Source organism: Homo sapiens, chromosome 12 (genome assembly GCF_000001405.40).
Source record: "Homo sapiens chromosome 12, GRCh38.p14 Primary Assembly".
In the NCBI taxonomy this organism is placed as follows: domain Eukaryota; kingdom Metazoa; phylum Chordata; class Mammalia; order Primates; family Hominidae; genus Homo; species Homo sapiens.
Genome location: NC_000012.12, coordinates 12018390 through 12038226, shown reverse-complemented (window position 1 = coordinate 12038226; position 19837 = coordinate 12018390). Strand labels below are relative to the sequence as shown.

At 43.5% G+C, this 19837-nt stretch overlaps 5 annotated features.

Annotated features, from left to right (window-relative positions):
• Positions 4578-4872: a silencer, noted in NCBI's record as "tiled region #1566; K562 Repressive DNase unmatched - State 12:CtcfO". NCBI's record gives its function as "represses a minimal TATA promoter and a strong SV40 promoter by Sharpr-MPRA in K562 cells {active_cell/tissue: K562}" and the evidence as "EXISTENCE:reporter gene assay evidence [ECO:0000049][PMID:27701403]".
• Positions 5324-5423: an enhancer, noted in NCBI's record as "active region_6007". NCBI's record gives its function as "activates an Ori minimal core promoter by ATAC-STARR-seq in GM12878 lymphoblastoid cells {active_cell/tissue: GM12878}" and the evidence as "EXISTENCE:reporter gene assay evidence [ECO:0000049][PMID:35858748]".
• Positions 5874-5923: an enhancer, noted in NCBI's record as "active region_6006". NCBI's record gives its function as "activates an Ori minimal core promoter by ATAC-STARR-seq in GM12878 lymphoblastoid cells {active_cell/tissue: GM12878}" and the evidence as "EXISTENCE:reporter gene assay evidence [ECO:0000049][PMID:35858748]".
• Positions 9392-9461: a silencer, noted in NCBI's record as "silent region_4249". NCBI's record gives its function as "represses an Ori minimal core promoter by ATAC-STARR-seq in GM12878 lymphoblastoid cells {active_cell/tissue: GM12878}" and the evidence as "EXISTENCE:reporter gene assay evidence [ECO:0000049][PMID:35858748]".
• Positions 14115-14164: an enhancer, noted in NCBI's record as "active region_6005". NCBI's record gives its function as "activates an Ori minimal core promoter by ATAC-STARR-seq in GM12878 lymphoblastoid cells {active_cell/tissue: GM12878}" and the evidence as "EXISTENCE:reporter gene assay evidence [ECO:0000049][PMID:35858748]".

The following is a 19837-nucleotide window of genomic DNA, read 5'->3' as shown; positions in this document are numbered from 1 at the left end:
AGTAAATCCAGAGAAAATACTCACACATAATGACACTGGTTGTGGGGGTCTGCCCCATGAAAGAGCTGGCTCAACACCTGATCACTCTGCACGCTGCCAGGGGACAATTCTAATTTAATCACACAGCTCCTCCAAACAACTTCTTGGTGTCTCATATTTATGTATGAATCAACAGCCCAGATCATCAGACTTTTGAGGGACGCTACCCAAATAGAAGACAGAGGCTAAAATGTCTATGTGTGGGGAGAGCTATCAATTTTGAAGAAAAAGAAAATATTATGAGGAAAAGGCAAAAAACAAAATGGACTTAAAGAGAAGTTATAAATATCTTTAGAGAGATGAGAAGGTATTACAGCTATGAAACAAGATAGGAAGCTATTAAAACAACACAACAAAAAATATCAGAAGAAAACACTCTTAGAAATTAAAATAATTAGGGCAGAAACAAAAAAAAATCAACAGAAAGTTTAGAAGATAAAATTGAGGAATTCTTGCATGAAGTAAAAAAAAAAAAAAAAAAAAAAAAAGGACAAAAATAGGACACTGGCCCAGTGCGGTGGCTTACACCTGTAATCCCAGCACTTTGGGAGGCCGAGGCAGGTGGATCACATGAGGTCAGGAGTTAAAGACCAGCCTGACCAACATGGCGAAACCCTGTCTCTACTAAAAATACAAAAAAATTAGTTTGGCGTGGTGGTGGGCACCTGTAATCCCAGCTACTCGGGAAGCTGAGGCAGGAGAATCGCTTGAACCTGGGAGGCGAAGGTTAAAGTAAGCTGAGATGGCACCATTGCACTCCAGCCTGAGGGACAGAGCAAGACTCTGTCTCAGAGAAGAAAAAAAAGAAAAAAGAAAATAGGGCACTGGATTGTCTCATTCCTTCATTACAACCCTCCTTTCTCTTGTCTTCCTGCACTTTCATGGTGGGATACTAAAACTTCCTTTCTTAGACTTTCCTGTAATTAAATTTGCCTTTTGATACATTTCTGGTCAAGGAGTCATAAGTTTAAGTCTGTAGAAAATTTCTGGAAAGGCTTTATTCTTCTGATACAAATACAAACCTTTCTGCTTCCTTCTGCTGCTCATTTAGTTCTGCCTTGAATGTGGATGGGATGGATGGAGCTGCAGCAGCTATCTTGTAGCCATGGGTAAGAGACCAAGAGAGTTCCAGATATTTTTGCCCTGACATTCCTGAGCCTCTGAAATAACACTGGTCCAATGACTTCTTGACTTCTTGTGTGAAAACAAAAACAAAAACAAAAAAAACCCCTAATTTGTTTAAGCTACTGTTTAATTAGATATTTTTTTGATCCTAGTTGAATCATAATATACACAAGAAAGGTTAAGAAACCAGAGTTGTTTAATATTTAACTAGTAGAAGTTTCAGAAAGAGAAAACAGATGATGGGTAGAAGAAAATTATCAAAGGAATAAGAGAAGAAAATATTACAGAACTGAGCTTTCATGTCTTGAAATGACACATTACCCTGAATGTCTTAGTCTGTTCCTGCTGCTATAGCAAAACACCACAGACTGGGTAATTCATAAGCAGTTGAGATTTATTTCTCACAGTTCTGGAGGCTGGGAAGTCCCAGATCACAGTGTCAGCAGATTTGGTGTCTAGTGAAGGCCTGTCCCACAGATGGTATTTTCTTGCTTGCTTTTTTTTTGAGATAGAGTCTCGCTCTGTTGCCAGAGTGGAGTGCAGTGGTGCAATCTTGGCTCACTGCAACCTCCGCCTCCCGGGTTCAAGCGATTCTCCTGCCTCAGCCTCCTGAGTAGCTGGGACTACAGGAGCGCACTAGCATGCCCAGCTAATTTTTGCATTTTTAGTAGAGATGGGGTTTCACCATGTTGACCAGGATGGTCTCGATCTCCTGACCTAGTGATCCGCCCACCTCAGCCTCCCAAAGTGCTGGGATTACAGGCGTGAGCCACCACGCCTGGCCACAGATTGGTATTTTCTCTGGTGTTCTCACATGGTGGAAAAGGTGGAAGAGCAGAAGGGATAAATACTGCGCCCTCATGTGGCAGAAGAGATGGAAGGGCAATGGGCCTAGCTAGTTCCTTCCAGCCCTTTTATAAAGGCACTAAACCCATTCACATGAGGGTGGCGGCCTCATGACCTAATCACCTTCCAAATGCCCCACCTTCTAATACCATTGCTTTGGGGTTTAAGTTTCAACATACGAATTTTGGAGGACACATACGTTCAAATGGCACCAGGTCACTAAAAATCACCAGGAAGTAGAATGGAAGTACTTCACAGTTTGCTTTCAGATAAATGTCAGAAAATTGGCTTTACTACAATAAAATAATGTGTAGGGTAAAGAACTAACAGTGCATAGATATGCAAAAGGTTTATCAGTAACTACTGAACCCCAAATGCTATGTTTTAAGACAGTGGGGACTTGGAGAAACATAGTAGAATCCAGGATATTCATTCAACAAAATATGTTTAGTTTGGATTACTGGTTCATACCTGGAAATTACTATAATTTCTTTCTTTTTGTTTGTTTGTTTTTTTGGCCTGTTCTCTGTGAACCTAAAAGTTGCTGTGATTTTGTTAGGTTACTTTGAAAGATTATGTGCTCTGAAATTATACAGACCTGGTTCTGGTCTCAGCTGTAAGGTGCAGACAATTTCTTTAACTTCTCTGCAGCTCTTTCCCCATCTGCATGGGTATTTTAGAGATTATTGTCAGGACTAACTGTGATTCTGTATCTAAAACTTCTGCACTAATTATCAGAGAAATACATGTTAAAACCACAATGAGATATCACCTCATACCTGTTGGAATGCTGTTATCAAAAAGATGAAAGATAACAAATGCTAGCGAGGTTGTGGAGAGCAGGGAAGCCTTGTGCACTGCTGGTGGGAATGTAAATTAACACAGCCATTGCAGAAAACAGTATGGAGGTTCCTTAAAAAATTAAAAATAGTACTACCATATGATCTAGCAATCCCACTCCTGGGTATATATATCCAAAGGAAATAAAATTGGTATGTTGAAGAGGTATCTGTACTGCCATGTTCATTGCAGCACTATTCACAATAGCCAAGATTTGAAACCAACTAAGTGTTTAAGTGTTCATCAACGGATGGATGGATAAAGAAAATGGGGTTGGATAAAGAAAACACACCATGGAATACTATTCAGTCTTTTAAAAAGGAGGACATCCTGTTGCTTGTGACATAGATGAACCCAAAGGACATTGTGCTAAGTGAAATAAGTCAGGCACAGAAAGACAAATACTGCATGATCTCATATGTGGACTCTTAAAAAGTTGAACTCAAAGAAGTAGAGAGTAGAATAGGGGTTACCAGGGCTTTCAGGCTTGTTGGGGGGCAGTTGGGGAGATGGTCAAAGAACATAAAATTTCAGTTAGACAAGAGGAATATATGTTCAAGAGATCTATTGTACAACATTGCAACTATGATTAATAACATATATTTTTGAAAATCACTGAGAGATTTTAAGTCACCCCTAAAATGATAACTTTGTGAGCACATGCATATGTAATTAGCTTTATTTAACCATTCCACAATGTATACATATTCCAAAACATGTTGTCCATGACAAATATACATAATAAAATAAAAAAATCCTGGCACAGAGCTGGCATTTCTGAAGTGTTAATTCCTTGTAACGCCATTTCTCAAATCGAGATTCTACCTGCACGCACATACCACAGGCTTCCATCTTTGCTCTGTTTTAGTTCATGACAGCCAGAGTTGCCCTCAAGATTTTCTAGTTTTTTGGTTCCCAAACTGGGATTCCCCAGCTCTCAGGCCCTGAGAAAGTTGTAACTAGGGTCTGTGGGTTAGTTTCAACATGCTGAAATCCTAACAAAAATCATTCATGGGTGGGAGACCAGGTTAAGAAGGGATCAAGTGTCTTCGCCTTTGTCTGTGATATGGACTCACTGTGGTAACTCTGGTTGCATCATGATCATCAGAAGGCCTGCCTGACATTTATACGTCTGATCCCTCAAGACAGAAAGCTTATTAAGCTCCTATTTTAGAGATGCATTCTGGTGGGCAACATCTTTCAGAAACACTGAATTTATGGGAAAAAATAGTAAAGAAGTTAACGAGTCTGGGGCATTGAGATCCACAAAGCTTAAGTAACTTCCCAAGGTCACACAGCAAGTTGGTAGCAGTGCCAGGACCAGAACTGATTTCTGCTGACACCTCATAGCCTGCGTGTTCCACTCCTTGCCGTGCCGTCCAGACTACCTTCTTTTCCACCTGGGTCCTTCATGTCTATCAAATATCACCTTGGAAACAGGCTTTTAGTCAGGATGTTGTAGTGTCAAGGGCAACTGAAGTCTCCTCTACACTAGGACCCCAGGAATCTAAGGGAGAAGGTATTTCCGACCATTTATTATGATTTATAATTTCAGCCAGAAATTTTTCTTCTGCTTCCTTTCTCAATTAGGGAAATGTGTGCTTTAGAAGATTTTAAATGCTTGGTTACTTAAGAGAGAAAGAAAACTCTGTTGCTTGTTCATATTATTTGTGTTTTTTTCCATGCAAAGACAGGAGGTTTTCAGCCAAGGCAAATCAGAGTGGCTGACATTCCCACGGGAAAGTGGGCCGGGCGTGAGAACAGGATGTGTACCTGTCTGGAAGCTGGAGCCTTTGATGTACATCCACAAGAGCCCCAGAAGGAAGCTGTTTTGATAAGCTGTGGTCACCAGGTGGCGCTACACACACGCTGTCAAGTCCAACAGTTTTTCAGACCTGCAGGATTTTTCCAGATTTACCGAAGCAGGAAAAAACAGGAAAAACAAAACGGGTCCAGTACTTCAGCTCAGAATAGTTGAGTTGAAAAGAGGTGGAAAACCCCCCAGACAGCTTGCCCTCTTCAATCGTGTGGCAGAGCATCCACTTGGTGCCCTTCGGATTCTTTGAGTAAATGTGGAGCTGGCTGGCTCCTCAAGGGAGTGTGGAATCAGGACGTGGCTGGTTCCGGCTGCAAGAAAGTCCCGGTTATTCTGCGAGGGCGAAAGAGCTCCAGCGTTAGGGCTTCAGCAGAGGCGGTTGCTAAGGCGCACCAGTCCTTTACTTCGGACCAGTCTGACCTTAACGGGAAAGGCAATTTCCCTTTCTGTATGGGGAACTCATTTCCTTTGTTGCTTTCCTTATTTTCCTCCCAGGGTCTTTTAATTCCATCCTGATTGGGGCCTGAGAGGAGGGCATGGGTGAGGTGTGAACCAGCAGCGCCCTTTCTTCCTTCTCGCTCCGCCCCCAGGCAACACCCTCCAGCACCCAAGCCTACCCTCTTCCTCCAACGGAAAAATGCACACGGCATATCCGTGTCTGTCCACATGCCGGATTTCCCGGCCAGTTCTGATGTGAAATATCTTGAAAGTTTGCTAAGGGGCCACTTTATATTAAAAGAGGATTAAAAAATAAAGAAAATCCCATACCTCCAATCTGAAAGTCTTTTCTTGGTGCCATAAAAAAACTGAGCTATCAGCCCTCTGGTACCTTCGATTCCAGGCCAAAGGCCACTGCCTGGTGGTGACGGCCAACGTGGAGGCACCCAGGCCAGCTCCCACGGCATCTCTGCCGACAAGCAGTGACTCCAGCAGATTGTAGTAGCACCTACACAGCCAGAGCTACACCCAGGTGCTTGCTTTGCTGCAGTTTGGGAGGGATCAATGTTCCAGAGCAGCGGCTCACCAACCTTAGCATGGCTCAGTTGCTGGGCTCCACTCCCAGAGTTTTTGGGTGAATGCGTCCAGGGTGCGGCTGGGAAATTTGCATTTTTAAGAATTTCCCCCTGAGGCTGATGCTACAGTCTGGAGACCACACTTTGAGAACCACTATTTCAGAGTAAAATGCTGGTGGGAGGAAAGGAGCAGCAGGAAACAGCCGATGACTGTGGTGTGGCCGGTCTTTCTCCCAGGCGGGGTGGGGTGTGTGTGCCAGGATTGCAGGGTCACCAGGAGGGCCGGTTCTGTGGGGGCTGCTGAAAATCCTTATCCCTCCTTTCTAGACTAGTGGTTCTGAGACTTGGCAGCACATTGGAATCACTTTGGGAGCTTAAAAAAAGATACTGATGACTGGCTTCTAGCCCCAGACGTCCTGATTTAATTGGTTCACAATGTGGTTTGGGCCCTGGAAGATTTAAAAGCTCGCTAGGTGTTTCTGATGTGTAGCCCAGGTCGAAAAATCACGGTGCTAGGTCCACGTCTTACTGCATTCTTATATCCAGTCCCCAGTAAGTGTAAGTTCTCACCACCCATTCTCAAACCCTTCCAGCTGTCTCTCATACCTCCCTGCCTCAGGCTGAAAAACACTGGCACCTGTCTGAGTACTGACTTCCTATTTATCCTTCAAGACGCAGGCCAAATATTTTTTCCGTGGTGGAGATTTTTCTGGCTTTCCCTAACAGTTCATCTCCTAAAGCACTGTGGATACACTAGAACTATAACCTTTATCTTTCACTTCATCGCAATTACATTCACGTGCTGAATGTAATGATGTTTCAGTCAAAAACCGACTGTATGTATGAAGGTGGTCCCATAAGATTATAATGGGGCTGAAAAATTCCTATCACCTAGTGACGCTGTAGCCATTGTCATGTTGTAGCTCAATTACTTTATTTTAAAAATAAACAGTGTAGCCTAAGTGTACTGTGTTTATAAAGTCTACAGTAGTGGACAATAATATCCCAGTCCTTCACATTCACTCACCACTCACTCACTGACTCACCGAGAGTAACTTCGAGTTCTGCAACAGCCATTTTGGTAAGTGCCCTATACAGGTGTACCATTTTTAATCTTTTTTTTTTTTTTTTTTTTGAGATGGAGTCTCGCTCTGTCGCCCAGGCTGGAGTACAGTGGCCCAGTCTTGGCTCACTGCAAGCTCCGCCTCCCGGGTTCATGCCATTCTCCTGCCTTAGCCTCTTGAGTAGCTGGGACTACAGGCGCCTGCCACCATGCCCGGCTAATTTTTTGTATTTTCAGTAGAGACGGGGTTTCACTGTGTTAGCCAGGATGGTCTCGATCTCCTGACCTCGTGATCCGCCCACCTTGGCCTCCCAAAGTGCTGGGATTACAGGCATGAGCCACCACGCCCAGCCCATTTTTAATCTTTTATACTGTACCTTTTTCACGTGAGGTTTGTTTAGATACCCAAATACCATTGTGTTACAAGTGGCTATGATATTCAGTACAGTTACTTGCTGTACAGGTTTGTAGCCAAGGAGCAATGGGCTATACACCGTAGCCTGTTTGTGTTGTAGGCTGTAGGCTGTACCATCTAGGATTCTGTGAGTGCACTCTATCATGTTCACACAACAAAACTGCCTAATGATGCATTTCCCAGATGTATCCCTGTCGTAAAGCCCTGACTGTATTTCTGTTCATATCTTCCCTCCCTGCTTGATGGTTAATAAAAGTTGGTGATTGAATGAATTCCATAGTTGGAGATAATGTTAAAATGCACAGGTTCTCTTTTTTGTTTTGTTTTTTTTTTTATTGGAGACAGGGTCTCACTCTTTTGCCCAGGCTGGAGTGCAGTGTTGCAATCATGGCTCACTGCAGCCTCGACTTCCTAGACTGAAGAGATCCTCCCACCTCAGCCTCCTTAGTAGCTGGGACCACAGGCGTGCACCACCACTCCTGGCTAATTTTTGTAGTTCTGTAGAGATGGGCCTTCACCATGTTGCCCAGGCTGGTCTCGAACTCCTGGGCTCAAGCAATCTGCCTGCCGTGGCCTCCCAAAGTGTTGGAATTACAGGCCTGAGCCACTATGCTCGGCTATTGCACAAGTTCTGGATAAGGAAGTTTATTAATATCAGTTCTGTACAATGAACCTAGTGCCTCCAGTGGGGTCAGACTTGGGTGGGTGCTGGAGAAGCAAAGTTGAGTGAGCAGTGCACACTGCCCCTGAGGAATGAATTCCTCTGCAGGCTGAGCTCTCTGAGGCTCCTTGTGCTTTCATCATGACATTTAGCTTGGGAACTGCTTTCAGAGATACTGACCTGGAGCACAGAGGAGCCTGGGTCTCCTTTTCATCATGCTCTTCTGTGGCTCTCACCACCCACAGGATTAAGTAGGTTTCTTTGCATGTCTTTCATAAACTTGCGCTTGTCTGCCTCTCCCAAATATTTAATTCCTTGACCCTGTTTGATGCTTGGATCCTAGTTCCTTGCACACACCATGCTATTGCCAACTTATACCTTTCTATTCCCCTGAGATGATCTTCTCACCTTTGCTAGTCCGGGTAACTGCCAAGGCTTGTGGGCCTTCCTGACCCCCCAGGCTGAGTGCCTTCTCCTGTATTATATTCTCTTAGGATTTTATACATACCTCTATCATTATGTGGAAATAATCCAAACTAGTTTTTTTATGAGCCTGGCACACAGTAGGTGCTTTATAAGTGTTGAACTGAGATGAATGCTTACAGAGTGATTCTCAAACTTTATTCTACCTATGCATCATTCACATGCAAAACACACTCCCACACTTTATATCGTGCATGAGACATAGTGTTTCTTCATCCAGGGTAATGGGTTTAGAATAGGTAGGCACATCCTTCCAGGGGAATCAGGATATGAGTGGGAGGTAGGCTGGGACTAGTTAGAAATACCCTCCTTTTGCCACCTAGATTCTAATGTGTGTCTTGTTCTCAAGTTGAGAGCTGCTGAATTACTATAGGCCAGGTGGTGAGCTAGGCACTTTTAAAATTATTTCTAGAATGTTCACATTAGTCTTGCTAGGTGGTTATTATTATCCTCATTTTATGGATGATGAAACTGAGGTTAAAGGATTTGTGCAAAGCCACATAGCTGGTGTGCTAGGCCATTCTTGCACTGCTACAAAGAAATACCGGAGACTGAGTAATTTATAAGAAAAGAGGTATTATTGGTTCATGGTTCTGCAGGCTATACAGGAAGCATAGCAGCATCTGCTTCTGGGGAGGCCTAAGGAAGCTTCCAATCGTGGTGGAGTGCAAAGTCGAAGCAGGCATATCACGTGGCAAAACAGGAGCAAGGGAGGGGGAGGTGCCAGACACTTTGAAACGACCAGATCTCATGAGAATGAACTCACTTTCGTAAGGACAGCATCCTGGGGTTGGGGCTAAACCATTAATGAGAAATCCACTCCCGTGGGTCAGTCACCTCCCACCAGGCCCCACCTTCAACACGGGGGATTACAATCCAACATGAGATTTGGGCAGGGCACATATCCAGACTCTCTCAGCTGGTAAGTGACAGGTGGATGCTTGGACACACTACTTTCTGATGTGTTGCCATGCCTGTTTCCCCCAGTAGAACTGGGTTTCCCCTTAAAGGCATGGACTTGGTCTTAGTAATTTTTATATCCTCTGTACCTGACACAGAGCCTGGTGTCAGAAGGTCCCCAGTAAACGAGTGCCGAACTGAACTGAATCATTCTTGGTCATTTCTCTCTGCCACTTAGCTACAAATGTTTGGGATGACACATTTAGACCTGGTGTTGCAGTGCCTTCATCTCCAGAACCTTCATGGGTCAAATAACTGAGTCTGTCCAGACGTATCATGACAGCCCTGTTTTAATTGATCGTTGCCTATTGCCTATTAAAACCTTGTCAGATTCTAATTTTACAGTTCCCTCCTCCCTATGTCAGCGTTGGATTATACTTCTTCTTTCTAGATCCTCTGTTTCTGCTCTCTTCTGCCATTCTGTTTACACTGTCCCTTCTGTAGACAGAGCCTTTTTCTAGTTTTCCTGGTGGAATTCCATCTGTATCGCCTCTGGAACTCTTTCTGTTGACTGCTTTTGTTTCCTCCTTGTTACATATTGAGTAATTTTTTTTTTTTTTTTTGAGTTGGAGTCTTGCTCTTGTTGCCCAGGCTGGAGCGCAGTGGCGCGATCTCAGCTCACTGCCACCTTCGCCTCCCGGTTTCAAGCGATTCTCCTGCCTCAGCCTCCTGAGTAGCTGGGATTACAGGCACATGCCACCACACCCAAGTAATTTTTTGTATTTTTAGTAGAGACGGGGTTTTTCCATGTTGGCCAGGCTGGTCTCGAACTCCTGACCTCAGGTGATCCACCTGCTTCAGCCTCCCAAAGTGCTGGGATTACAGGTGTGAGCCACTGCGCCAGGCCGAGTAATTTTTTATTACATGCTAAACATTATGGGCTTTATTGTCTTCCTTTAAAGAGCATTGCATTTGTTTTGGCAGGTGGTTAGTTTATTGGTGGGTCTGCTTGACGTCATCCACCCTGGTGGAAAGGGTGTCATCTTTCCACCAGGTATTCACAGTGAGTAGTTGGACTTAGAAGCATGTCTCTAGGCTTGAGCACCTAGAACCTATTTTATTAGAATTTCTATGTCCCATAAGTTTGCTTTTCTACTTCCTTCCTCGTCACCTTCCTCCCCTTCACCCAGAAACGCACAGCCAGAGCCTCACGTGTGATGAGGGCAGCTATACCAGAGTTCCATTGCCATGGTTTCATTTCATTCACCATAGCATTGAGTTAGGTTGCATCTAATTCTACCATCTTGCTATTTGTTCTAGATTTTCCCATCTATTCTTTGTTCCTTCTCCCCGACTCTCCTGCCTCTTTTTGGGTTAATGAAGTGCTTGTGAGTATTCTCTTTCCTCTATTGACTTCTGACCTACAACTCTTTTATTTCAGTTCCTTAGCTGAGCACAGTCTGACTTGAATTAGTGAGACTTCATTTTTGCTTTAAGCAGACAATGTAGTTTAAAGAAATTAAAAAATAAAAGTGTTCTATAGTGACCCCATAGATTTACCATTTCTGGCACATTCCTGTGTGTATTATAGTTCTGTTTCTATCTGGTATCATTTCCCTTTGGCTTGAGGAACTTTCTTTAATATTTTTCATTGTGCAGTTGTGCTGGTGATAAGTTATCTCAGCTTTTATTTATTCATTTTGCCTTCATTTTTGAAGGATATTTCCACTGGATGTAGAATTCTAAGTTAGCAGTTTTTTTTCTTTTAGAACTTCAAAGATGGGATTCTGTTATCTTCAGGATTGCAACATTTCTGGTGAGATGTCAGTGATAATTCTCATTATTGCACCACTGTAGTCAGGTGGGATTTTTTTTTTTGTCCCCTGAATTCTTTTGAGATCTTTTCTTCATCATTGTTTTACAACGTTTGGCTATGATGTGCTTAAATGTGGTTTTCTTTGTGTTTATCTTGTTTAAGATACATTGAGATTCTTGGATCAGTGGATTGGTACTTTTTTGTCACATTAGGAGGTCATTATTTTTTGAAATATTTCTTCTGCCCCAATTCCTCTTTGCTTTCCTACTGAGACTACAGTTATGTATCTGTTAGACTGGTTAATAATATCCCATATGTGTAACTCAAGCTCTATTCTTTTATTCTAGTCCTTTTTTGCTCTGTGTGCATCAGCTTGGATAATTTTTATTATTCTGTCTTCATGTCTACTAATCTTTTCTTTTGCAGTGTCTAATCTTCTGTTAAGCCCATCTTGTGACTTATTTCAGTTATTTTAGATACATATATAAACATATTTTTTAGACAGAATCTTGCTCTGCTGCCCAGGCTGGAGTGCAGTGGTGCAATCTCGGCTCACTGCAACCTCTGCCTCCCGGATTCAAACGATTCTCCTGCCTCAGCCTCCCTAGTAGCTGGGATTACGGGCTTCCACCACCACGCCCAGTTCTTTTTTTTTTTTCTTGATTTTCAGTAGAGACACAGTTTCACCATGTTGGCCAGGCTGGTCTTGAACTCCTGGCCTCAATGATCTGCCCGGCTGGGCCTCCCAAAGTGTTGGGATTACAGGTGTGAGCCACCGTGCCCAGGCAGTTATTGTAGATTTTTGAGTCCCATGATTTTCATCTTGTTTCTTTTCATAATGTCTATTTTCCAATGAGTAACTGTTTTTCATTCCTTATGTCCACTTTTTCCCTTTAAATTCTTCAATATATTTAGTCATTTTAAAGTTTTTCTTTGCTAATTCCATCTGTATCACCTCTGGGATTCTTTCTATTGGCTGCTTTCTATACTACTTGTTTCCTCCTTGTTACACATTGAGTAATTTTTTATTACATGTCAAACATTATGGTTTTATTATCTTCCTGTAAGGATCATTGCATTTGTTTTGGCAGGTGGTTAATTTATTGGTGGATCCGCTTGGATCCATTATTGAGTGTTGTAATTTGGCTTTGTTTTGATGGGTCCAGTGCAGCCTCTCTCTAGTGCTGGGGTGGCCCAGCTCCACAGGTGTGGCCTTTCCCGGGCCTCTGTTGAAAGCCCAGGCTGTTCATCAAGCTCTTTCCACCATGGACACTGAGAACACAGTGTCTCTTCCCACCATGTGACCTCTGGAATCTCTGTTCAGTGCACAGCTCCTACTACCTATTCTCTCTCTCTCTCTCTTTTTTTTCTTTTTTTAAGAAACAGGGTCTCACTCTGTCACCCAGGCTGGAGTGCAGCAGCACAATCTTAGCTCACTGTAGCCTGAAGCTCCTGGGCTCAAGGGATCCTCCTGCCACAGCCTCCCAAGTAGCTGGAACTATAGGTGCATGCCACCACACCTAGCTAATTTTTAAAATTTTTTGTAGAGATGAGGTCTTGCTATATTGCCCAGGCTGGTTTTGAACTCCTGGGCTCAAGCGATCCTCTTGCCTCAGCCTCTCCTAAGATGCTGGGATTACAGGCATGAGCTACTGCACCTTGCCCCTGCTACCTATTCTCTACTAGGCTTTGTGAAAACATTACCCTGTACATGTGCAGTTTTGTTTTCAACTAGATTCAGGTGGTCTCCTCTGCAGATTTTTGGATTTCTGCTCTGTGCAGCTCCTGCCTCTCTCGTACCCTGTCCCACACACTCAATCCCTGCAGCAGCCCTAACCTTCGGTCTCTTTCCTCCATCCTCAGTTTGGGCTCCACTTCCGCGTGCTGTGGTTGGAAAGCCCCAGGCAGGAGGCCAGAGTAAATGTGGGTTTCACCTCTTGTGTTTCTTCTCTCAAGCATCACATCCCTGCACCATCTGTAGCGTTGCACCTGAAAACAGTTTCATATAATTCGTCCAGTTTTATTGTTGTTTATGGCAGGAGGGCACAACCAATACCCCTTACTGTGTCGTGGTGACAACCACAAGTTAGACCAGACATCATTAGTTTATTTTATAGTTAAGGGAACTGAGGCTCAGAGCACAGAAGCACTTTGCTCAAGATCATCTGGGAACCAGCTGAGTAAGGGCTAGGACTCAGGTTAGAGCCTATTAGAGCCCCATTAGGGGCTCTTGACGTTACTTCCACTTTTTGTTTCCCACTTTCCTTTCCTATCTTGTTCCCCTTCGAGGAGAATATACGGTCATCTTGTGTCCACCTTGGTGTCCCCATTTCTGTCATATTTCACATTGACTCTCATTTTCACGGCTTTGAACTTTGCTCTGTCTTATCTGGAAAATTCTATATTTTAGACCTCCTCCCCTTTTTGCTTCCATTTTTGTCAGAATATCTATGTTGCTTATCAATTATTGTATTTTCTCAGTATCAAGCACCGTGCTTGGCACGTAGACATCTCTTGATAAATGTTTGTCGATGGGACCAAGGAAGAAATGAGTATCATTTTATCCTTTTTTTTTTTTTTTTTGAGACAGAGTCTCACTTCTTTCACCCAGGCTGGAGTGCAGTGGTGCGATCTCAGCTCACTGCAACCTCTGCCTCCCAGGTTCAAGTGATTCTCGTGCCTCAGCCTCAGTAGCTGGTATTATACAGGTGTGTGCCACGATACCTGGCTAATTTTGTGTATCTTTAGCAGAGACAGGGTTTTGCTATTTTGGCCAGGCTGGTCTCAAACTTCTGGCCACAAGTGATTCACTCGCCTTGGCCTCCCAAAGTGTTGGGATTACAGGCGTGAGCCACTGCGCCTGGCCTTATTCATCTTTTGACCCTTTTCCGCCATGTGTCATTGAAAACAGGTGCGCTGTGAGGTCCAGGTGAGGAGCAAAAGTCTGCAGGCGTTGGCAGGGAGAGCCCCTGGCATGGTGTGCCCTTCACACACAGCCAGAACATGCTTGTCTCTTGATACGGGCTGTTGGCTGAGAATTCATGCATTTCTTTGTTATTCTTGTCATACTGGAATTAACCTACAGCCTTTTTTTCGCTTTCTATATCTTTCCTTCTCCTGGCAACAGTTTCATAAAGATCCCTTTCATTATCCATTTCAATCATGCCACTAAGATCTATCCACTTCTTTCTTTTAATTTTATCATCACTCTTTCCTCCCTACATTTCTAGCACACACTAGAATCTCGTATGCAATTTATTTCTGCTGTATCTTTCTCTTTTCCCCATTTCCATCTCTGGATGCTTTTCTAGAAACCTCTCTGTGGTACTTTACATTTCATCATTTCGATTCCAATGTATTCATCCTGGTTTCTCTGTTTATTGCTTTGCTTGAGGGACTCTGCTTATCTCTTCAAAGCCTTTGATTTCAGGGCCACTTTCCTTGAGCATCTGCTCACATCATTTTCCTACTTGTCCACCACTGCCAGCCAGGGAAGATCAGAGGCCTGCCCTCCCGCTGATCTCCCCTCTTTTGTTTTTAATCCCTTCTTGTTCCATCAGGAATTTCCTCCCTTCTTTATACCACTGCCAAACTTAGGTTTTCAGAGGTGAATTTTGGCTGTTAACTTCATAAAATACAAATGGAAACATCATTCCTGTTGCGTCACAACCTCTGTTCTTTCTTGTACCTAGAAACTGGGCCACCCTCCTGGCTCAGTTTCCATTTGGTAGCCATGTGGCAGCAGCTGGTATGTGTGTTTAAATAAACCCCATTCAGTTCTGTGCTCTTGAAACCTGCATTATTTGGTTTGTTGGGCACTCGTCTTAGATTTCCCATTTCATTTTTTTCTCAAGAATCCGTGGAAATCTTCCTCTACTCCTTCCACCTGTACCTTTCTTGTGGCGTTTAGGAAGCGGATCATATGTTTGTACATAGCTTTTCTCTTGAAAATTTCATTAGGGGGCTCTATGGATTTCTTTCGGGGAACATGCATTTCCATGAAGTGAATCGTTTTGCTTTTTTAGGTCATAAGCATTGTTATGTATCATCAGATCCAGATCCCATAAGTCTTTGGAAGGTTCTTATAATAAACTGTAAACAAAAATCTCACTCTGAAAATTGTCTGGTAAGGAAATCCACAGAGCCAGTTCCTTTCCTAGTTCCTGGTGAATAAACTGCTTCAAACAGGTAATACCTAGATTTCTTACACAAATGTACACCCAGTTTTTCCTTCCCTAGGGTCCTCTTGTCTTCTTTTTAGTGTTTCTTTTCTCACATTGCTTCTTTGAATTACTCTTTATCCTCTTTATATGACTTTAATTAGGCTTTGAAGCCTTCTTTTACATTTCTTTTTCTTTGCTTTCTGTTTTCTGCCCATTCCTCCAGGACTTGGGATCCATCCATTCACAATGAGAATTTCAACAGCGATTCCTCCCTACTTCCTCTTTCATGGACCTCACAGAACTTTCCTCCTGGAGCCAGTCTTGCTGGCCCCGGTTCCTCTTCTCATTAGAAGCTATCTCTCCTAGAGTCCTTCTTGCAGCACTGACCACCACAACGTGGCTTCTGTTTTCCCTTTTCCTTTGTTTCTATCACCGGGTGAAATCAGTCTTCTCCTCTGCGTTTCCCTGAAGCTCTACTAACCCCCTTTTCCTTCCCTCCCCATCTCAGGTGGCTTCCTTGAGTTCACCAGAGCAGCTGTCCCCAGTTTCCCTTTGTTGTTTCTCCTCTCACTCCGCACCCTTGAACCCTTGAGTCCAGCCCCGCTGGTTCAGCTCATGGCATTAAGGCCTGCTCTTGGGCAGTGTGCAGAGCCTTTCTCCAGGAAAGGCCACACACTAGGTAATTACGGTTTTATTTTATTATTAATTTTATTTTATTAGTATTATTTTTCTCTCTGTCTCGCTCTGTCGCCCAGGCTGGAGTGCAGTGGTGTAATCTTGGCTCACTGCAACATCCACCTCCCAGGTTCAAGCGATTCTCCTGCCTCAGCCTCCCAAGTAGCTGGGACTACAGGCACATGCCACCACGCCCGGCTAATTTTTGTATTTTTAGTAGAGACAGGGTTTCACCATGTTGCCCAGGATGGTCTCAAACTCCTAACCTCAGGTGATCTACCTGCCTCGGCCTCCCAAAGTGCTAGGATTCAAGACGTGAGCCACCTCGCCCAGCAGATAATTATGTTTTTATTCTCAACACCTGCATGTTTCACTTCCTGATATGCTCAGATGATTTATGGAAGCTCATCTTTTTCCATTTCCCCCAACTCTTATTGGAGTATAATTGACAAATAGAAATTGTATGTAGTTAAGGTGTACAACCGATGTTTTGAGATATGTATACATGATTAAATGATCACACAGTCAAGCTATTAACATCTCTATCACCTCACATAGTAGTCATTTTCTCTTATTTTGTGATGGGAGTACTTAAGATCTTACCTCTTAGCAAGTTTCAAGTGTACAATACAGTATTATTAACTATAGTCACCGTGCTGTACGATAGACCTCCAGAAATTATTCATCTTGCATAACTAAAACTTTTTACCTTTTGACCAACATCTCCCCATTTTCCCTCCCTATTACCCCCTGGCAACCACTGTTCTGCTCTCTGCTTCTGTGAGTTTGATTATTTTAGATTTTTTGCATAAGTCAGATCATGCAGTATTTGTCTTTCTGAATCAGGCTTATTTCACTTAGCATAATGTCCTCCAGGTTCATCCATGTTGCAAATGACAGGATCCTGCCCCCGGCCCTTTAACGCTGAATAATACTCCATTGTATATATGTGTGTGTGTGTGTGTATATATATATATATATATATATATATTTTACATTTTCTTTATCCATTCATCCATTGATGGACATTTAGGTTGTCTCCATATCTTTTGAGCCTCATCTTTTGCAGGCTTTCATCTTATACAAAAAGTATAGGAAAGTATCTCAAACTTTTCTGATAACAGTTCAGTTTTCTATTTCCCAGTCTAAACTCCATAGCAGCCAACCATTATTGGTCTACCAAGATGGTTAATACCTTGCCAAATCTCATTAACTGAATCATAATGTCTTTATGAACAAAGCTCCTAGATTTCACCAGACAGCTATTCTAGTGTTCTGACCCCTTTTTACTGCTAAAGTCTCTGAAATACATCAGGTTTCTGAATATTCTGATGGTCTGAACTTACTACTCATTTCTAGGAAGGTCTGCAAGTCTGTACTTTGGGTTCATGCATAATGAATGAAAACCAGGGTCTCCACCACACGTCTCAGACTGCAAGGGATTTTAGAAGGTGCTGCGTGGTTGCTATTTCCATTGTCTGGGCAATAATGGAGAACTCTTGTGACGTACAGTTTCCTATAGCATCTGGAGCAAAGCCAAAATTTTGATATGTTCTTTTCCAGAACTTCTCTAAGTTTGGGGACACTTTTAGTGTCCAGACCCGTGGGATCAGGAATTCTTTGTTTACATTTATGGTTGGTTTTATGGTTGGTAGAACTGATGACTATTTAATTGGTGCAGTAAGAGATCACCCCGCTTCAAACCCATTGGGTCCATATGATTGCATCAGCAGGTATTGGGTATGACCGCTTCGAGCTCTGTTGCCTGGTTTGTGAGACCCTGGCTTCAAGACACTCCTGTTAAAAGGCAAATATCCTTGAAGAGTCCTATTAGATAATTTCCTAGGGAGGGGCCTGGCCATTCCATTGCCTTTGGAGTCAGATGAACATGGATTCCCATTCTGGCTCTTCTACTTACGAGGTGAATGACCTACAAAGTCTTTGAGCCTCAGTGTCCTTTTCTGTAAAAACAGACATAACAAAACCTACTTCATTGGATTGTTCTCACCGTTCAGTGAGGGCTTTGGAAGGGTATTGTTATGACAAAGTGCTATGTAAAGGGCAGTAAATTGTCCCTCTTTTTGTTTCTTCCTCTTGCCTTAACCTTCTTGAGTGTGTGTGTAGAGGGGGGCCTCGCTGGCATCCAGGACATACAATAAATAAAGAGACAGGATGGTTATAAGAATACAGCGCTTGGGGCAGATGGAAAAATTCTGCCCCAAGGTAGACAGGGCAGCATAGGACTAAGGGCGAGAACTATGTGAAATAGGCCAGGCGCGGTGACTCATACCTATAATCCCAGCACTTTGGGAGGCTGAGGCGAGTGGATTGCTTGAATCCAGGAGTTTGAGTTCAGCCTGAGCAACATAATGAGACCATATCTCTATAAAAAATAAAAAAATTAGTCAGGCAGGGCCGCTAATGAATGGTGGTGGTGTGCTCCTGCAGTCCTGGCTACTCAGGAGGCCGAGGCTCAGGGAGGATCGCTTGACCCAGAAGGTTGAGGCTACAGTGAGCTGTGATTTTACCACTGCACTCCAGCCTGGGCGACAGAGTGAGAGCCTGTCACCCCACCAAAAAAAAAAAAAAAGAAAGAAAAAAGTGAAAGAAACCCTCATGTCGGGTGAAAGGGTCCCTTTCTCCTCTTTTGTGGAAGGTGGGTGTCAGCACTTGTTTTATTGCAGGAGGTGGGGAGGCAGTATTGTATGTTTCTTTGATTGAAATGTTGTTGCTGTTGTTGTTGTTGTTTTGGATGGACTAGAACAGTATTAAGACAAGAAAGGTGCCAGATGCAGTGGCTCATGCCTGTAGTCCTCAACTTGGGAGGCTGAGGCAAGAGGATCGCTTGAGCCCAGGAGTATGAGGCTGCAGTAAGCCATGATTGTGCCACTGCACTCCAGCCTTGGTGACGGAACAAGAGACCCTGACTCTAACAGAAAAAAAAAAAAAAAAAAAAAAAAAGACAAGGAAGAATGTTAGATTGCAAAGGCAAAGGTATAGGACATAGAATTGTGCACAGAAGGTTGGGGGGCTCAGGGAAGGTAAATGGCGCTCACTCACCAACTTTGCTCAGGACAGACCCTAGTTTTCTCCTGGACATTGAGCGTATTCACGTTAGTCTCTCAGCCTAGAATGAACGGAATTTATTGTGTTAAACTGGTGAATCAAAGGGACATGAATGCTAACTGAGGAACAGCTGTGGGACTCTGCTGTGGGATCCCAGTTGTAGCAACTTGCTCAGGTGTCTGTGTGCAGTGTTGGCTGTCAGAGGAATGAGATCGAGTTTGGGTGGGCTACCTCTTATCCAGGTAATCTGGAATGCATTTCCCAGGCTCTCTGAGCCTCAGTTCCTAATATTATCTAATATTACTACTTATATCACATACTTTTTGTAATAATTAAGTGAAAATACTTGATCGCTTTAAAGTTCCAAACAAATCTTATTTTTCTATAAAACTTGTATGGAATATTATTGAAGTCCAACCATTTGTGTGTTCCAGATAAGGAAACCATAGTCAGAAGAGATTAAATGAGTGTTCGAGGCAATTAGCGGCAGAGGTAGGAATGGAATCCAGGGCTCTAGGAAAGGGAGTGGAGGCAGGACACTGTGGGCCTCTCGGGCCAGGTGAGTAGGTTCTGACCAGCCAGGGCCACTAAAATGGCAGCGAGGGGGGTCCATGTGTGTCAGCTGTTGGGTGAGGAGAGCAGGCACAGAATGAAGTCTTTCATAAGTGAGTTACTGCTTGGCTGTCTTCCCAGAACGCCTGCTAAGCCGAAACTGCCCAAGGGAAGGGGCCTGTGTCGATCCAAGAATCCTTACTCTTGTAAGTGAGTTTGGATGGACTGTAGGGACATCAGAGGAGTTGGAGGAGGTGCGATTTTCCTCCCTTAGCCAAGCAGGAGTGTGTTAGATGGGACTTAGTAGGGAGAGGACCAGGGAGCAGGGTGAGGGGAGTTCATCCCAGGTGCTACCTGGGCCTGG